At 38.6% G+C, this 18,230-nt stretch overlaps 1 protein-coding gene and 1 pseudogene across 1 annotated transcript in view, besides 1 other annotated feature; both read right to left on the bottom strand.

The window, feature by feature from the left end:
* On the bottom strand, positions 1,856-2,784 carry PSMA6P4 (proteasome subunit alpha 6 pseudogene 4; annotated as a pseudogene).
* RAP2A (RAP2A, member of RAS oncogene family) overlaps positions 9,359-18,230 on the bottom strand; it is a 34,960-nt gene continuing 26,088 nt past the window's right edge. The window contains exon 2 of the mRNA NM_021033.7: positions 9,359-14,282. Coding sequence (NP_066361.1) covers positions 14,045-14,282 — 238 coding nt within the window. The 3' untranslated portion in view covers positions 9,359-14,044. The remainder of the gene's footprint in view (positions 14,283-18,230) is intronic.
* Positions 18,107-18,216: an enhancer, noted in NCBI's record as "active region_7893". NCBI's record gives its function as "activates an Ori minimal core promoter by ATAC-STARR-seq in GM12878 lymphoblastoid cells {active_cell/tissue: GM12878}" and the evidence as "EXISTENCE:reporter gene assay evidence [ECO:0000049][PMID:35858748]".

The following is an 18,230-nucleotide window of genomic DNA, read 5'->3' as shown; positions in this document are numbered from 1 at the left end:
GTCTCTGGCTTTGCAAATTTTCATTGGCCTGTGTAGTCACATGCTGTCTTTCCTTTGACATTCGATACATACCTGAACCATATGAGCCCAGGAAGGCAGCACCAATGCAAATGTTAGTTTAATTCAAACATAATTGGGAATCAAATTTTTCAGAAAGGTACATCATGCAATGAGTTCCTAATACAAGTGAAAGTGACTTTAGTATTAATTGCAAAATTATCACTAATATTATTATTATCTGTGCTATTTTTTCTTCATCTGGTTGGTATATTTAAAAAAAAAAACTAACCAAAATTTGTTTGGGAAATTTTCCTCTTTATAACATAGTACATGAATCAGTAGGAATTGTTCATTCTTTCTGTTTTGTTGTTTTAATGTGACCATGGAAACATGGAGAGTAGCTAATAAATCCTTGATGATACTCAGGCTGCCTTTGATTTTACTGTCCTCCTGTTTCTGTTATTAATGTTGGGTTAATTGCAGCACATAATTTACCAGATAGCAACAGTAGGTATGTGCCACATAATTTTTTATTCAGACCTGTAACAGTGTCTCATACATAATAGATGCTTCATATTTGTTGAATGAAGGGTTATAAGAATAAAGGAATGAGTGGATGAAGAATAAAACAAGTCAGGCTAAATCTTAAAAATGAGCTCTGGCAGGCCAGGCACGGTGGCTCATGCCTGTAATCCCAGCACTTTGGGAGGCCGAGGCAGTCGGATTGCAAGGTCAGGAGATCGAGACCATCCTGGCCAACGTGGTGAAACCCCATCTCTACTAAAATAAAAAAAATTAGCCAGGTGTGGTGGTGCGCGCCTGTAGTCCCAGCTACTCGGAGGCTGAGGCAGGGGAATTGCTTGAACCCGGGAGGTGGAGATTGCAGTGAGTCGAGATTGTGCCACTGCACTCCAGTCTGGCGACAGAGCGAGACTCTGTCTGAAAAAAAAAAAAAAAAAAAAAAAAAAAAAAAGAGCTCTGGCAAGGCTGTATAAGAGAAAGGGATTCCATTGTGGGCAACTCAGATTTCTTGGTAGAAAACACCTGTTACTAAGAGAAGCTAAACTTTTTCTTAGTATTGGAATTGCCAAAACATTGTTTTAGGCTTTTATCATTCCTAAGAGGTGTTATTTAAAGCTGGATCCCTGATAAGACTGTTGAGGTGGTCTAAAGGATTCCAGGCACCTGAATTTTATCTCATGTGTCAACTGTTCTTCCTTGCTCTAAAAAAAAAGGCAGCTGGAAAAGAACCAATTGCAGGGGAAGTGAAAACTAAGAATTCAACAGCCAAGCTTCATCTTATATAGTGCAAGACTGGCTGCTTAATTTGAAGAGCCTTGTGCATGAACTCAGAGCCTTGTTCAAAATTATTAAAAATTTCAGGACTACAACAGAGCACTGAACCGAGCTTTGATTTCTTCTAAGTGTAGGGTTGTTTACACATAAAGCTAGCTCTGCATATATGTTTCTAGTCCCTTATTGTTTTTGAACAAATAAAATTGAGTAGTTCTGATATAAGCAAACTTTTATTTGTAATACTGTTTAATAGAATGTTCTGCAATGATGGAAATGCTGTATATCACACTAATGTGTAGCCACTACCTACCTATGGCTATTGAACTCTTAGAATGTGGCTAATGTGACTTGAAATGTGGCTAGTGCTACTGAATAACTGTATTTTAATTTTATTTAAGTTTAATAATATACATTTAAATAGCCATACATGGATGTGGCCAATGGCTACCATATTGGAAAGAGCCATTTAATGAATCAACTGAACCAAAGACAATAAAGGAAGTAGTTTCATATAGAAAGAATCTGTAGCAATAGAAAGCAAACGATCGTTTTTTAGTTTTTACATTTTTCCCAAAAAGCATTGTTTTTACTAATACAGAGTCCTAACCTCTTCAGTGGTAGGAGGAGCGGGAGAGCCTCCTTTTTCAATCCAGAGACCTCCATAAAGTTGGTTTGTTGTTACCAAACACAGAGGAAGTGACATCACGGATTTGGTAAACTAAGGACAATGTTTAGTCTCTGCTGAAACAACAAGGTGCAGTCAGTCTCTGCTCATGTAAGAATCCTGAATTCAGGAATTTCAACTGTAACTACTCGAATTTCTGTCTCTGAAGATTTTAGATCATTGATAGCACAGTAGAAAGGCATGTAATTGCGGTTGCCACTGTGTTCAAATGTCCAGGCAAATTTCTTCTTCACTTCAAGGAAGCTGGTTGACTCGGCTTGTTTAACTCCTGCTGCAGTGGCTTTAAACCCACAGTAGTAACCTGCAGCATCACACTTGTACACCCGAGGGCCTAGTTCTTCAAATATACTAATTAAAATCATACAACAACCAAGAGGCCTCATTTCAGCATTCTGTGTATAGACCCGAGTAATATCAGCAATTCCTTTTACACAGCATGTCCACAGGAATCTAATAGCCATACTTGTATTTGCAATTAGCTGCCTTATATTGCGCCCTCTGTTCCCGGGATCTGCTGTCAGCTGTCACTCCTGTGATCACACGGCCAGTGTTTTTGGTCATCTTGAATAAGTGAGTCCTGGAATCCAATAATTTGTCAGGTACTATCTTGTGTGTGACAATTACTGCACAATCTTTCTTTCTGACAGCTACTGATGTAAGGCCACCCTGGTTAATAGCCTTAAAAGCATATTGTACTTGGTAGAGCTGGACCTTGGGTGAAAAAATTATAAGGTGGCGGTCAAAACCAGTGCTGGAATCATGGAATGTGTTGGTACACCCACTACTTCACTCACAATCTCTGGTGCAATATCTTTTATATTAACTGTCTTGAGCAACTGACAGCAGCTACAGTTGCATGCTATCCCAATGGGAAATTGCCGCATAGCTTCTAAACTCATAAATAGAACAAGAAATGTCTTTAAGACACAGAACTGTGAAACTTGGAGGAGATCCTTGCCTAAAAATTTTGGTAAGGGTAGAGAGTTTCCATGGCAATGAATAATCCATCCAAATGTAATTAAAAGTGAGTGACTAGGGGATCTATATTGTTCAGCTCTAGTACATTTTACCTTTATATTTTTCTAAGCCACTGATATGCTAATATATCAGACAATATTTGTTCAGGACTGAAGTGACAAGTCATTGTATGAAGAAAAAGAGGACACAGTCATCTTAAAGAAACATTAGCAACTCTTCAGATAAGATGAAAAGGAAAGATGTATTCTGTTGCTACTATTTGGAATTCCTTTGAGTCGTGAGCAGAGGAGTCATTATTTATGGTTTTCCACTTAGGATCACATTTCCTCCCTGAGGACGCTGTCAGGTTACCCTTTAAGGACTCTCCCTTGGTCCTTCCCAAGAAGTACCTGCCCTGGTTCTCCAGCCGGGTTCCAGTCCGCAGCCATTTCTGCCAGCTCTTCTCCACTCCAACCCCAGGCCCAAGGCTATGGCCATGGGCAGCTTTGAGAGGCTCCACAAAGGAGTTGACAGATCTAATGGCAAACAGTGACAACCACTGTCCTCGCAGTTTTAATGCTGACCAGTTTTGTTGTGTATATTTGGAAAGAAGTCGGTCATTTGAAAAAATTACACAGCGAATACTATTGGTATGAGTGAATGAGAAGAGTTTGTGCATTTTTATTTTGTTTTAGTTACAAATCACATGTCCCTGGGTGCTGAAGGAAAATGCAGGGAGTTGTTGAAACCAGCTGCTCAAGTGAGCTAATTCCTCTTCCAGAAAGATGTTTATTGCTAGAAAAACAATCAACAGGCCAAAATCATTCTCAAACGGAAATAATGTGAATGACTTAATTAGCAATTGTCTATGTTTAGGATGTGGAGAAAATCCACTGACACGGGGCTACAGAAAGGTCCTCGTGGCACATGAGGCAAAAGAAGGAATGAAAAGAGGGAAGGAGCAGGGAAGGAAGAGTAGACACAGCTGAATTGGTTTAAGGGGCCCATACATGTCTAGCCCCACCTCTTCCATTCAGCTTTCATGGCATAAACTCTGCAATTACTGGTTTGCTCTTGCTGTTGCCCCAGGACAGCAGTGCCTTGGTCAACCATAAAGGCAGCAAAAGATCAGCAGTCGGGCTCTCTGGGCAGTGAGTATTGAGAGTCTCACTTATGTTACAAGGAACACCTAGCTTAATCCAGGGATTCTCAGTGGGAAAGGAGTAGAGCTCAATCTGCAATGGAAGGAGGTTCCCAGATTTCCAGGGCAGGGGAAAGACTGGCTTTTTCTACAGTGAGCCACATGTATTTTTTGTTTGTTTGTTTGTTTTTTTGAGACGGAGTCTCACTCTGTCACCCATACTGGAGTGTAGTGGTGCCATCTTGGCTCACTGCAGGCTCCGCCTTCTGGGTTCACGCCATTCTCCTGCCTCAGCCTCCTGAGTAGCTGAGACTATAGGCGCCCACCACCACACCCGGCTAATTTTTTGTATTTTTAGTAGAGACAGGATTTCACCATGTTGTTAGCCAGGATGGCCTCGATCTCCTGACCTCGTGATCCACCCGCCTCAGCCTCCCAAAGTGCTGGGATTACAGGCGTGAGCCACCACGCCTGGCCGCCACATGGATTCTGATGCATCCTGTTAAGGGGAGGGCCACATTTTCCTTCTTTTGAGAGTCTCTATACACAGTAGAATTTGATGGAGCTATGTTGCACATTTGAAAGATGGAGGTTGGAAAAATGTTAGGATGCATTATTTTCTTTAAAAAAAATCTCTTTAGTCTCCTTATATCTAGCACAGCCCCTTAACCCCCCATCCCATTATTTTTGTCTTTCAAGACATTGACAGTTTGGAAGCATCCAAACCTATTTTTGTGGCGTGTCTCATGATGTGGATTTGTCTGATTGTTTCTCCATGATTCGATCCAGGTGAAGATACCACATAGGTGACATTGGGTGCTTCCTTTTGTGTCATAGAGGGGCCCATGATAGACTTTTGTCCCTTTGTTGGTAGTGCTTGGTTTGATCACCTGGTTCATGTGGTGTCCGCCAGTTCTTATCACTGAAAGGCTACCTCTTTCCCTTGGCAAGTAAGAAGTAATTTGTGAATATATGTTTCCCTCTAACCCTTCCACCCAATGGCCTCAGCATTGCTGATTGCTGATCCTTCCCTGAATCTACTTTGATGTGGAGGATTGGAAGGGATGACTTCTTGGTTCTGTTTTCCATATCTATTAGCTAGTATCCTATAAATGGCTCATCCTTATTATTATTTTTTAATTTCACTATGAACTCTCAGATTCAGTTTTTTATTAAGCTGTTTTTTGTTGGACATCATACCCTTTGCCTTGCGAAGTATTTACCAAACTATGAAATACTAGTCCTGTGACATGTTCTAAGAAAAGCTAGCATCCTATGGTTAAATAGTTTGCAGAACATAATGTATTTATATCTCACAATGTTACATAATCCACATTAGGATATTGAAAACCACAAGAGCCTATTTAACTTTGTTTAAGCAGGTGTTTCTCAAACTTATTCGACCATGGAAATCTTTTTCCTATTCAACATTAGTACTTGATGGAACACATTTGCAGAAACACTGGCCAAGAGCCAGCTCTATTAATGTTTAAATATTTCATCAATAATATGAAACAAAGACTGATGATGATGGTTGGTGTATCACTGTTCAATAAACTGTATGATTACAATGGTTATTTTCCTATTATCATATTCATAAGGTCAACTCAGCATACCCCTGAGGGGCTGGAGGTCAAGAACAACCCTAAAGTAGGCAAAGATTTCTTTAAAAGAACACAAAAACAGTTAACCATCAAATAAAAGATTGGTGCATTGACTTCATTAAAAGTGAGGACTTCTGTTTATCAGGAGATATCAACAAGAGTGTGAAAAGGCAAGCTTCAGACTGGGATAGTACACTGTACTTATAAACACGTGTCCAGAAAATGTAAAGAACTCCTACAAATATGTAAGTAAAAGATTAAATAAATCTTTTTTGAGTCACTTCATGAAACAGTAAACAAAACATTTACTCAATGGGCAAAAAACATAAATAGCCATTTCACAAAAGAGGGTAACCAATGACCAATAAGCATATAAATATATTGGCCTTAGAGAAACATGAAGTGAAATCCACAATGCCATACCACCACGCTCCCACCAGAATAATGAAATGAAAAATGACAAAGCCTGACAGTGCCAGGTATGTGTGTGGAAGGTGGAGTTGGTAGATGCCATGAGGCACCACCTGGACCTCCTTTCAGTCAAGTAACTGCTGCCCTGCTGCTGAGAATGCTGACAACCTTCACTCTCTGATCCTTCAGGGATTGCCTCTGCATCTTGTTCAAGGTCACAGTGACTGACAGGCAGAGGGTACAGAGGACTAAACCATCTGAGCCCAACTCAGGACAATTCTAAGGGCCCCATTCTAACTCCCTCTGTCTGGGGGTTGTTGGCCCTGCATCACACAACTTCTCCCTCTGGCCAATCTTACTTCCTCTACTCCCTTCCACAGGAGTTAATCCCAAGGACATTTGGTAATAAGCATCCTGCACACTAAGCTCTGTATCACAGCCCTCTTCCCAGGCAATCCATCCTGTGACATGGTGCAACTGGAGTACTCACACGTTGCTTGTTTATGTAAACTGGTACAACCACTTGATAAAACTATCAATGTTTACCAAAGTTGACAATCAAGTCTTGTAGTTCAGCAATTCCCCTCCTAGATAGTGACCTAGGAGTGAGTATTGTGTCTATCCACCAAAAGTCATGTACACAGATGTTCATAGCAGCTTTATTCATGATAGACTCAAACTGGGAATGACTCCAATGTCCATCAACTGTAGATTGCCTCCTCTCCTCTTCTCCCTCTCTCTTTTCTTTTCTTTTTTTTTTTTAGGATGGGGTCTCCCTCTGCCACCCAGGCTGGAGGGCAGTGGCCTGATCTCGGCTCACTACAACCTCTGCCTCCCAGGTTCAAGCAATTCTTCTGCCTCACCCTCTAGAGTAGCTGGGACTACAGGCATGTACCACCACGCTTGGCTAATTTTTGTACTTTAAGTAGAGACAGGGTTTCACCATGTTGGCCAGGCTGGTCTTGAACTTCTGACCTCAAATGATCCACTCACCTTGGCCTCCCACAGTGCTGGGATTACAGGCATGAGCTATTGCACCCAACCCTCTCCCTTTCTCTGCCATCCCTCTAGAGACTACAGGGGTCAGAGGAATTCTCACGCTCACAACCGATCCAGGTCCCCTCACCTGGACAGAGTTCCCACATCAGCATTTGGAGGCCAAATATCTAATAGCAGCATTTTCCAAATTGTGCTCCAGAGAGTGCTACTATGTATAATTGAAAGAAAGTGTCCTGGGGTCTAGTTATTTTTGAGACATGAGTGGAATTTGAGTTTTTTCCAAGATGTGAGATGTGTTATGTGGGGTTTCCCAAACTTGCTTGACTCTATCATCGTTTTCAGCAAACCCTCTCATGGTATAAGACCTCTTCAGAACACACTACAGAGCTGTGCTGTGAACAAACCAACATTTTAAACTAAAAAAACTCACTGAAACCTAAAAACACCTGGTATTTAACTATAGGCATGGACCCAGCATTTATTCTTCAGTGTAGTATCTGATACATAGAACCCTTTGCCCTGCTGTCCCCAACCTGCCTCTGTATCCCCACTGCCCCTCACTAATCCTATTTTTACTCTGAATTCTTCCTGAGAAGTAGACCCAGCCTGTAACAGTAGAGCCTTGAAGCCCTGCTGTATTGCCATCCCCGTCTACTGTGTCCCACAGACACCTCAAGATCCCGGGAGGGACTAGCTCAGGCTGATGCACCGATCTTGAAAAGTGAACAGAGCCAGCAGCAGTCTCTGGGGCTGTGTCTGGAATTTCGGCTCAGCCTGGGTTTACTGGGATGCTGACATGTGAAAGTAGGGAAGGTACAAATTATTTCTTGCTAGTAAACTAAACTGTATCTGCCTTAAGAGAAAAAGGAATGGCAAGAAGACAGGACTAGGATGTCTTTGACATCAGGGTTTATGTGTAGATGACCATCTCTGTATTGTGGCAGTGCCAGATGCAAGTGTAACCTCTCAATAAATAATAGCTGAATGAGCATGGAATGAGTGGATTCAATTTAAGTGAAAGGATTAACAGTGGGGAAAAGGTCATTTAGAGTTAGGAGCTTGTTAGAAGAATTAGAAATTAAGTGGCAGAGTTAGAAACTCAACTCTGCCACTTTATTAGCTGTGTGACTTTCAGTGATTCATTTTTAGTACTTAGAGCCAGTTTCTCAAAAGTAACATCGAGTTATTTATCCTTCTACCTATGTTCACGTACTTGCATATGTATATGTGCATAGGAAGATGCTGGGAATGATTTACATCCATTGTTAACATGGCTGTTTTGGGGAACTGAAAGTTGGGGTGACTTTTTTTTTTTTTTTTTTAAGAAGGAGTCTCCCTCTGTCACCCACGCTGGAGTGCAGTGGTGCGATCTCGGCTCATGGCAACCTCTGCCTCCCAGGTTCAGGTGATTCTCCTCCCTCAGCCTCCCGAGTAGCTGGGATTACAGGTGTGTGCCACCACGCCTGGCTAATTTTTTGTATTTTTAGTAGAGACAGGGTTTCACCGTGTTAGCCAGGATGGTCTCAATCTCCTGACCTCATGATCCTCTTGGGGTGACCTTTTCTTCCCTTCACTAATCCTGATGTTTTTAAAGGTATAAAAGCACATCACACTCAAAATAGTGTAAAACTGTAAATATGAATCATTGATACTGAAGTTTTTAAAATGGGAGGATCTTATACTAAAAAATCCCCATAAGCTAAACCAAGAATCTTTCCTTCAGTTTTATTCCCAACTCATACATACTAAATAGGTCTTCGTATTTACTCTTTCAAGCAGCTAGTCCTCTACCTTTTTCTCTGCTGAGAAATCTTGGAGGAATCCTTAGAGGCTAACATGAAGACTACTAAGAAAATATAGAAAGAAATAACACAGCGTCTTACCTAGAATAGCAGCAAATCTTTTAAAACTCAATACCTCGATGTTGGGGATGTTGAATATTATCTAAAAACTATTTATAGGCCAGGCATGGTGGCTCACGCCTGTGATCCCAGCACTTTGGGAGGCCAAGGTGGGAGGATCACAAGGTCAGGAGATCGAGACCATCCTGGCTAACATGGTGAAACCCCGTCTCTACTAAAAAATACAAAAAATTAGCCAGGCATGGTGATGGGCACCTGTGGTCCCAGCTACTTGGGAGGCTGAGGCAGGAGAGTGGTGTGAACCCGGGAGGGAGCTTGCAGTGAGCAAAGATCACACCACTGCACTCCAGCCTGGGTGACAGAGCGAGACTGTCTCAAAAACAAACAAAAAAACCACAAAAACTATTTATGAAAATATTTATTAAAAATACTAGATAATATTCAACGATGTAAAACCAGTTGGAATGATCCATTTAAGAGATGAAGAGCAACTATGTTTTATTAGTATTTATGTGGCAACATATTTTAAATTAAGAAACGAGGTCAACAGCTTCTTTCAGAAGTTTGTGGTAATATTCTCTGCTTCATAGATCCTAGAGGTCAGTTGGGTTCCAAATTGGGCAGCACCTTACTCCTTTAGCTACATATATTTTCATTCGTGGACCTCTAACAGACAAATAATATAACTTGAGAGAATTTCAGAGTACTACTTTTTAGCCTCAAAGACGTTCTTCCAACTATCCACTATTGATACATTTAAATAATTTATTAAAAAATTTACAAACACTTCAAATAAAATTATGAAGTTCTTCAGAAGATATTCCTAAAATATAGGCATGTTTTCCTTTAAATATCTGGGATTCTATCTACAGTGCCTCTGTTATATTCATTCAAATTATTCTTATAATCTAAAACAATGAAGCTTCTCAACTGGTGGAATGCTGCCAGAGGATTTCAACAGAGTTTGAAGGCAACATAACCAAAAGGCATAGTTTAAATTGGCTTAGGAAATGAATGGGCTCCTTATCAGAGCAGCTGAAGGCTGTATACAATTAACAGCATCTGTCAACTTTCATAGGGCCCCATATAGAACAAGCAGGCCCTACAGCCTGGCGGCAACCTTCAGCTTCTGGCACCTTCGGATCCACATGACCTGAAAACAGAAAGACGGCTTCAAGCCATCACTAGAAGGCCTCTGAATCATTTTAGTGATATTGCTAATTAATGTTAATTATTTGAACAATTCTGTTAACCTTAGCATCAGGCTTTAAATTAACCAGCTACCATTCAAAATATAAAATCATTTGTAGAGATAAGTTTATATTTATAATAACTGATTTTACAGTCTCTTACATGTTATTTTTATTTTTAAAGACTATGAAAATTATCTACCTACCTGCCTTTTTATATGATGAACTCTCAAATCAGCTAAAATATTTTTGTATGAAGAGTACTAAATTCATTATATGGCAATTTTTAATTGTTTTTGTATATAATACATTTCTCTCATGAGCATGTACAAAACAAAGCAAATCCAGAGTTTCATTAAATAAATTTATTTGTTAAAATAATTTAACTCCAAATACAACTGTTGAATTTGCATTGAGTTATAACTACAATTCATGTTTTAATTGAAATGTCAAGGTTTAACAACTGACATTGTTACAAAACAATAAACTTGTTCAATTTTAAATGGTCAGTTGTATTAGAGCGCAACAATTAACTGTGAACTATATCTCTGGGAAACCTCAAATCAATAATGATAAGTCTGTTTCCAAAACCCACTGCAGTCATTCTTGAAACCCTGATCAAGATTTAATAGATGAACAATGACATGTTAAATAAAAAAAAAAAGACCTCCATAGTCCTTAATGTTTGATTGGCTAAGGGACAATTAAAGCTTACCCAGTGCTAACACAAGACTGCTGATAAGAACAAAAAAATTAAAAACACACACATAAACAAAAAACAGCAACAAACAAAACAAAGCACTTTCATATTCATACATACACTGACAACATTAACATTCATACTGGAAAACCCTTGAAAAGAAATACCAGACAGCCTTAGGCAACATTTCTTTATATAGAAAAGCAAATATCAGTAGTATTACCACAGAAAGGTGATGGCAACTGTAGCAATTTGAGTCAAAAGTTCAGTCCTAATTCTACAAACCAAAGGAGAAAATCATCAAAGCACCTTTCAATAGTTTAAGAAAATATTTTATGTAATACTTTTGATCAGATGCTGGCTTGTTTTGTATAAGTTGAACAAAATGAAAGGCATCAGTTACCATCACTATCACAGTTTAAAAGAACCCAAAAGTTGCAACATCAAAAGAAAAAAAAATTCAAAGATGCTGCCTTTGTATAAAAGTAAAAAAAAGAAAATCTTATCACAAGAGCTAAAGAAAAAGTGGGTCTTTGGATCAAACCATAATATTTTTAAGGCATGTTAGAAAAACTTTCACTTATCTAAGTTGCTAGTCTGATCAGGGCATAAAATAAATAGTGACACAAGGTCAACTTTCTTCTGTAGCCACTAAGGTTTCGTATGCCAACAAATGTAATCTTCCTGTTCTTAAGTGTTTTATTACTGTAATATCTCAACAAACACATTCATTTGCCAGCTGAGTTATATATTCATACCAGATGGATATGAATTTCCAGTTTCGGGATGTCCTTGATGCCTTGGTCACTAAATATGCAGGGCTGCGTGGAAACACTCATCAGGCAGCCAGATCAGTTCTTATTCATGTCTTGACAGTAAAAGCCCACCCTGTCATCTGACACAAATGTTTTTAACTATTAATACAACTCAAAATTTTAGGTCATCTTTTCCACTTTACATTCTGCCATATCTTTCATATTATTTAACCTATTTTCACATCTGCATAGCAAGCCATAATGTCAAACTGTGGAATCTTTATAGATATTTCTATTTTGCAATCTTACTTGTCAAAAATTGCTATGAATTATAGAATTCTAAAGAATCATTCTGAGAAGTTAGAGGAATCAAAACTCAACCAATTCACTAACAAATATTTTTATTTCCATAGAGAAATCATATATCTTGAATCTACAACTTCTCTACATGTTTGAATCAAACCAACTTTTACACAGTGAAATTCGTTTCAATAAAATTGGTTAAATTTTTTTGTCCTATAAACAAGGTGGTTCATAATTGAGGATTATAAAAAATTATACTGAAGAATGTAAATATTCAAAAGTCAAAGATTTATGACAGCTATGGCCTGGTTTCATTCACGTATCTCTTCAGTTTTTTCATTATGAAAAATACTATCAATCTTTTTTTTTTTTTTCACCCTCTAAGCTTAATGCCAGTTATTAAACACTTGGGGGGCTACCAATGATTTCATAAAAGTATAAAAGACACTTTAATAATTTAAAAGAAAAAAGTTTTTGATACACTATATTCTGCAGTATAGATTCTTAGTATAGGCAATTATCTCTGACTTGTGCCAAATTCTTAGGAACAATAAACACACATGCACACACAAACACACACTCTTCTCTCAGTTACACACGTAAGACCAGAGGTTACTTGCACAAGACTGTGAAACCAACAAAATGTGGGGTGGTGTATAGATCGCAGGCTCAGTGATATTGCAGTTCTGAAGGCCAAATTCTTCTCCCAAGGCCCAGCTCAAGATAATCTTTTCAGCATTTATGTATAACTAAGTTAGCTGAAGACCCCTCTATACTTGATTGTAAAACTTATGAATAGGTTTTTCCTGTGCCATTAGTCATGCAAATGATAAATACTTCACGACTATGAAAACCAAAAATGTCAGAGCTTGAGCACCTTTTCAAAACAAAATTTTCACTCCAGCTTTATTTGACGCTTCAGTAATCAGGGCAAAATTGTTCTAAGAAAACCTTTATATAATTCTCCAGGAAAATTAAAGGTAAAAGGCTTTTGTCCCTTACCTTCCACTCTATAATTTATGTTCACTTTTAAGCCCAAATTATTTCACATGGTTATTCAATTTTTAAAATGCCTGCAATAAAGCTCTGCTACAGCAAATACTTGATTTTGAAAGCAGGTTAGCCACGGGTCACACTACAACCATAGCCCTTAAAGGCGAGAAGGAATTTGCTGCTTTAATGAACTTAAAAATGCCAGATATTCGTACTGTCCTGTGAGGTTTCTGCAAACGGGAACATGTGGATGCAACATGGCTTCATCTTCCTTACATGATGGTACTAGTTTATCTATTAGAATGCTTCTTGTTAGTAAGGCTAGGTAATCTCTTCCCATCACAGTTGCTTCCCTCTTGTTCAGTAAAGTTATAAAGACCACCCCTAACAGAGGGCGGGTTTGGGGTTTTAATTCTGATCAAACCCTTGTGAAAGCCTCCATTTTCTGTGGCAAAGCAGGTGAATTAACAAATTCTAAAGCCAGACTATATTTTTACATAACCTGTTCTGAGTTTTGCTCTATCAAGGATTGAAGCATGAGTTAGTTCCATGTCACAAATTAGAATAACAGCTACAATTAAGCATCAATTTTGAAAAACAGAAATGTGTTAGCTGAGCAAAGAATCTCCCTGTAATGCTGTTGGCAGGTCAGCTGTTATTATCTTACTTGACGGAATACATTGGTTAGAAGCTCTATCCCATTTCCTGAAATTCAGTACTCTTGTAGGAAAATATTTCTCCTTTACTTATTTTTTTAAAGAAGACAAAATATTTTAATTGTAAGTGGTCAGAGGAATTCTTCTGGTTTCTCCCTTATGGTTATTTTTAATTTGTACAATAGTTGCTTCTGTCAACTCAGCGACAATGCCATCATAGCTTTCAAATGAGATCACCCTGTAGATCGATGGACTATGCCTTAAAGTTGCAGATGCATAAAGGAGACTGAGGACAAATGGTGAAAACTGTAGTTACTGAACCCAAATGTTACTCAGAGATATCAACTGACAATCACTGCTCAATTCTGAATAAGGGCTGCAGTTCTCTGTAGATTAACACCACGCATTCTGCAAGTTCTGCAGTGGAGTAGGCGAGTTTTCTATCACCTACGACATTGGGCAAATCCCATCCAGGACAGCCATATTTGGATGCTATTGTATGTTACATGCAGAACAGCATGGGTCATCTTTGTCAGGCTGAGCAGCATAGTTCATCTGCCTCACAATTTCTGCAAAGAGTTCGTCCACCATTGTTTTACTCTTAGCGGAAGTTTCCATAAAGGGGCAGCCCCACTCTTCAGCAAGGGCTCTGCCTTCGCTGGACGATACTTCTCTCTCACTTTCCAGGTCCACTTTGTTCCCAACCAAGATGACTGGCACTTTCTCATACCTATGAGAGAATAAACAAAACACACATACATTGTAACAGTTAGCACAAAGTTAAACAGGTCACGTGTATTTTCGTTTTTGGGGGCTATTCCAACATAAATGGTATCTTCAGTTGCATGAAAATGATTTGTACCACTTGGCTTGATACTTAGATCTGAGGGCATTTGAAGCTGCTCTCACAGTGGATGATAAAATGAGTTTTATGAAATGATGTTTTAATTAATCAATTATATATCCTTTAAAATCAATTTACCTTTCCAGATATACTTGGAAAATTATTCTCAGAAACTCAGACTAAATCCTCTTTTTTTTCCATTCTGAGAGAGGGTTGCACAAAATTTCACAGTTGATCACACAGTAAATAGCTACAATGAGTAAACAAACAACTTATAATTATCAGCATTTTACTATGTTCTATGTGTATAAAATTGATCATGTTCATACAAAAATCAGCTGGGTGTGGTGGCAGGTGCCTGTAGTTCCAGCTACTCGGGAGGCTGAGACAGGAGAATCGCTTGAACCTGGGAGGCAGAGGTTGCAGTGAGCTGAGATCGTGCCACCGCACTCCAGCTTGAAAAAATGATCATGTTCGTTCTAATAGTTCTCAAACAAGAAAAAAGGTAGTAGAAATCATCCAAATGGAAGCTATCAAATACAACCACACCCCATCCCTTCAGAAAACTTTTATGGATTAGTCAGTTCAAAGAGAAACAATTAGGATTCTTTTAAGACTGACAAGAATTCAGCCTCAATTAGCTTTAATTGGTGTTATTTCTCTTTTTCTTCCTAACTAAAATAGGTATCTCTGAGTAAACACGTTTGGAAAAAGCTAAACTAATAAAAATAGTAAGTGATAAGAAAGAACAAAGAAAGAAGCTCCTAAGTCATTTTGGTGCCTAAGATGATTGTCTCTACAATGGTTACTCCATGTAGCACATTTCACAACAGATGTCAACACTGGTGCTGGACTGCACATTTATTTACTATTCTTCTTTATGTTTGTTCTAAGAAAGATAGCTAATATATTTTCACAAGACATTTTAAAAGGTTTTTGTGATTTTAGTATAAATCTGTGTGTGTGTGTGTTTGTGTGTGTGTGTCTTCCCATAAGCAGAATGTATTTCTGATTTAAAGGAGCTAAACAGCAAGATCGCACAAAAGTGATAACAAATGTGACTGGAAACAGCTAAATCTGTCAGAAGAGAAAACCACCCCATGGTCAAGCCTTTGAGGCAGGATGCATAGACAATTTTTATCATTCAGGAAACTGGATAATAGGCAGGTGGTTATTGTTCGCTATGATACTTCCACAGATTTCTTCATCCTGTCAAGAGGGTTCTCTCCACTCATCCTAACTTGTAAAGCAAACCAAATTCCCAACATTCTCACTTTTTTTCTTTGACACTATATCAAACTAAGAATGGTCTCAACAAGAGGGCATACTCCAGGTAGTGTGCCATTTGGCAATGTGAAACATGAAAACAACTTAAAAATGAGTGGAAGGAACAACATCAAAGGCAAACCTAGAATTTGGATATTATCATTTTATAGGAAATGAATTTGGACAACTTCAATTTATATCAAAGGACTTTATATAAATTTACTGTACACTACTGTACCTTACGATTTCGGGCCTTAGATCATGCTGACAGCTCTGAACATAAGACACAAGGGTTTTTAACATCTTCTAGGACTCTTACATACAAACAATTTGTGCATCCCATGGCCTCTAGGAGGGCAAGTGGCAGTGAGAATAAAGCTGCATTACAAAACACCATGTATTTGCTACTTTGCATATAAACTCTCTTGATTGGCTATACAGAGAAGCTTGGCAGGGAGCAGACACTGCCAGCCATGTCAGGACAATGTCAGCTTCCAATTTGTGTTACTTGCAAAATGTAATTACATTTCGTTTTTCTTATGAAAGTATATACATCACAGTGTACTTTAAAATGCTTTGCTTGACAGTGGAGTAACTTAAAAACATTAATAAAATTAAGTAAAACATTGGTTGAATTTAAGTTAAAACAAATTTCAGTCTGTCTATGAATAATAAAAAGTGATAAGATCACTTTCTATTAGTTGAGATAAATGATAAATATTTTAAAGAATGTTTAAATACAATATATATAATATATAAATATATATATAAATATATATATAAATATATATAAATATATAAATATCTATATAAATATATAAATATAAATATATAAATATATATATATATATATTTTTTTTTTGAGACGGAGTCTCGCTCTGTCTCCCAGGCTGGAGTGCAGTGGCATGATCTTTGCTCACTGCAAGCTCCGCCTCCCGGGTTCACGCCATTCTCTTGCCTCAGTCTCCTGAGTACCTGGGACTACAGGCGCCCACCACCACGCCCGACTAATTTTTTGTATATTTAGTAGAGACAGGGTTTCATCGTGTTAGCTAGGATGGTCTCGATCTCCTGACCTCGTGATCCGCCCGCCTCAGCCTCCCAAAGTGCTGGGATTACAGGCGTGAGCCACCGCACCCAGCCTGTATCATGTTTTATATGTGAAATATTTCTTACACTTTTAGTTAAGTTCAGGATCTACTAGAATATGTGGATTTTCAAAACTTGCAAATAAATCAAATTATTAAGTTGTATTGATACATTATTAAAATCAAGAATTTGAATAAATCTTACCATCAACCTAATTCTCAAAACAGTAAATAAAATATTGCAAACACAGTTCCACATATAACAGCATTTAATAACTGGTAAATGTAGATGAAAATGCAGTCAGTATCAGAGGACCTGTTTATTATATCACTAACTTGTCAGTGGCCTTTTCTAAAATCAAGTTTCTAAAGACACTAGAGAAATCCACATTAATATCCTCAGAAGATTTTTAAACTGAGTACGATGTTGAGAAAAATTATGTACATTTCAGAATACCAGACGGTGATAAATTTTGTCTCTCTGTTAAAATTTGGGACAGTAGAAAAGATTCTACACCCAGATTTGGAGGCTCTGCTTCCAGTTCTGCCAATGAGATCATTTCCTTTACATATCTGTATTTCATTTCTTTGATAGTAAAAAGGGAGTAAGAGTATCTGTTCCCACTTAACACAGGGTTGCTGTAAAGGGCAAATGAGATAATGCTGAAAAAAATGAAGTACTAGATAAAAGGAGGGTGCTTGCTTCTTTCCCCTCCTAACTCTAGTGATGTGGCCTTGAGAAGCCACAAAGGGTGAAGAAGGAGCCGGAGAAACTGATCAAAGGAGGTAAAGAACTCCTGAGGGCAAACCGAGTTGAGGGTGAAGCTGGAGGAAGAGACAGGCAAAAAAGATGGGAGTCAAAAACAACAAAGCAGCCACCAGACACTAACCAGGTGCTTCTCCAGAGTCCCTGTGCTGAACATCCATGGTGATGGGGGCCTAGGAAAGCAGAAAAGCAAGCATTCCCAAACAGCGGGCACTCGAGAGAATATACTGGCCCCTGTGGGAAAGGCATTCTAAGAAGGCTCTGGATTGGGGTGACAGAATAGGGTCCCATATGAAGGTAACATTTGGAGAAATCTGGATCCTCCTTAAGAAAGATGGGTGAGACGCTGAAGGGAAAGAAGCCAAGACCTGTGTTGACAGTAGATGACTGCACTGCATGAGGAAGCTGGTGTTGCTATCTGTTTTAGCAATATGGTGGGTTTAAAAAAAAAAGAAACCAAACAGACTAGGACTCCTGTCCCAGAAGGGGCTGCCTCTAGCTAGTACTGTGAATTTAGAAGATTAACCTAATCTTGGTTTCCTGAGTTTCTTGAAGTATAAAATGAGCTGGACTGGATAATTCCTAAGATACTCTGAAGTTAAAAATCACAACAGACATGGTGGGTCACACCCACAGTCAACACATATCATTGACTAGGTTAATTGCTGAGTGCTTAGCACTGTTCTAAGAATAACGTCCAACAGGCTGATCTTT

This window comes from Homo sapiens, chromosome 13 (genome assembly GCF_000001405.40).
Source record: "Homo sapiens chromosome 13, GRCh38.p14 Primary Assembly".
Taxonomy (NCBI): domain Eukaryota; kingdom Metazoa; phylum Chordata; class Mammalia; order Primates; family Hominidae; genus Homo; species Homo sapiens.
The sequence above is the reverse complement of the archived record's forward strand: the minus strand, read 5'-3'. Positions and strand labels throughout refer to the sequence as shown.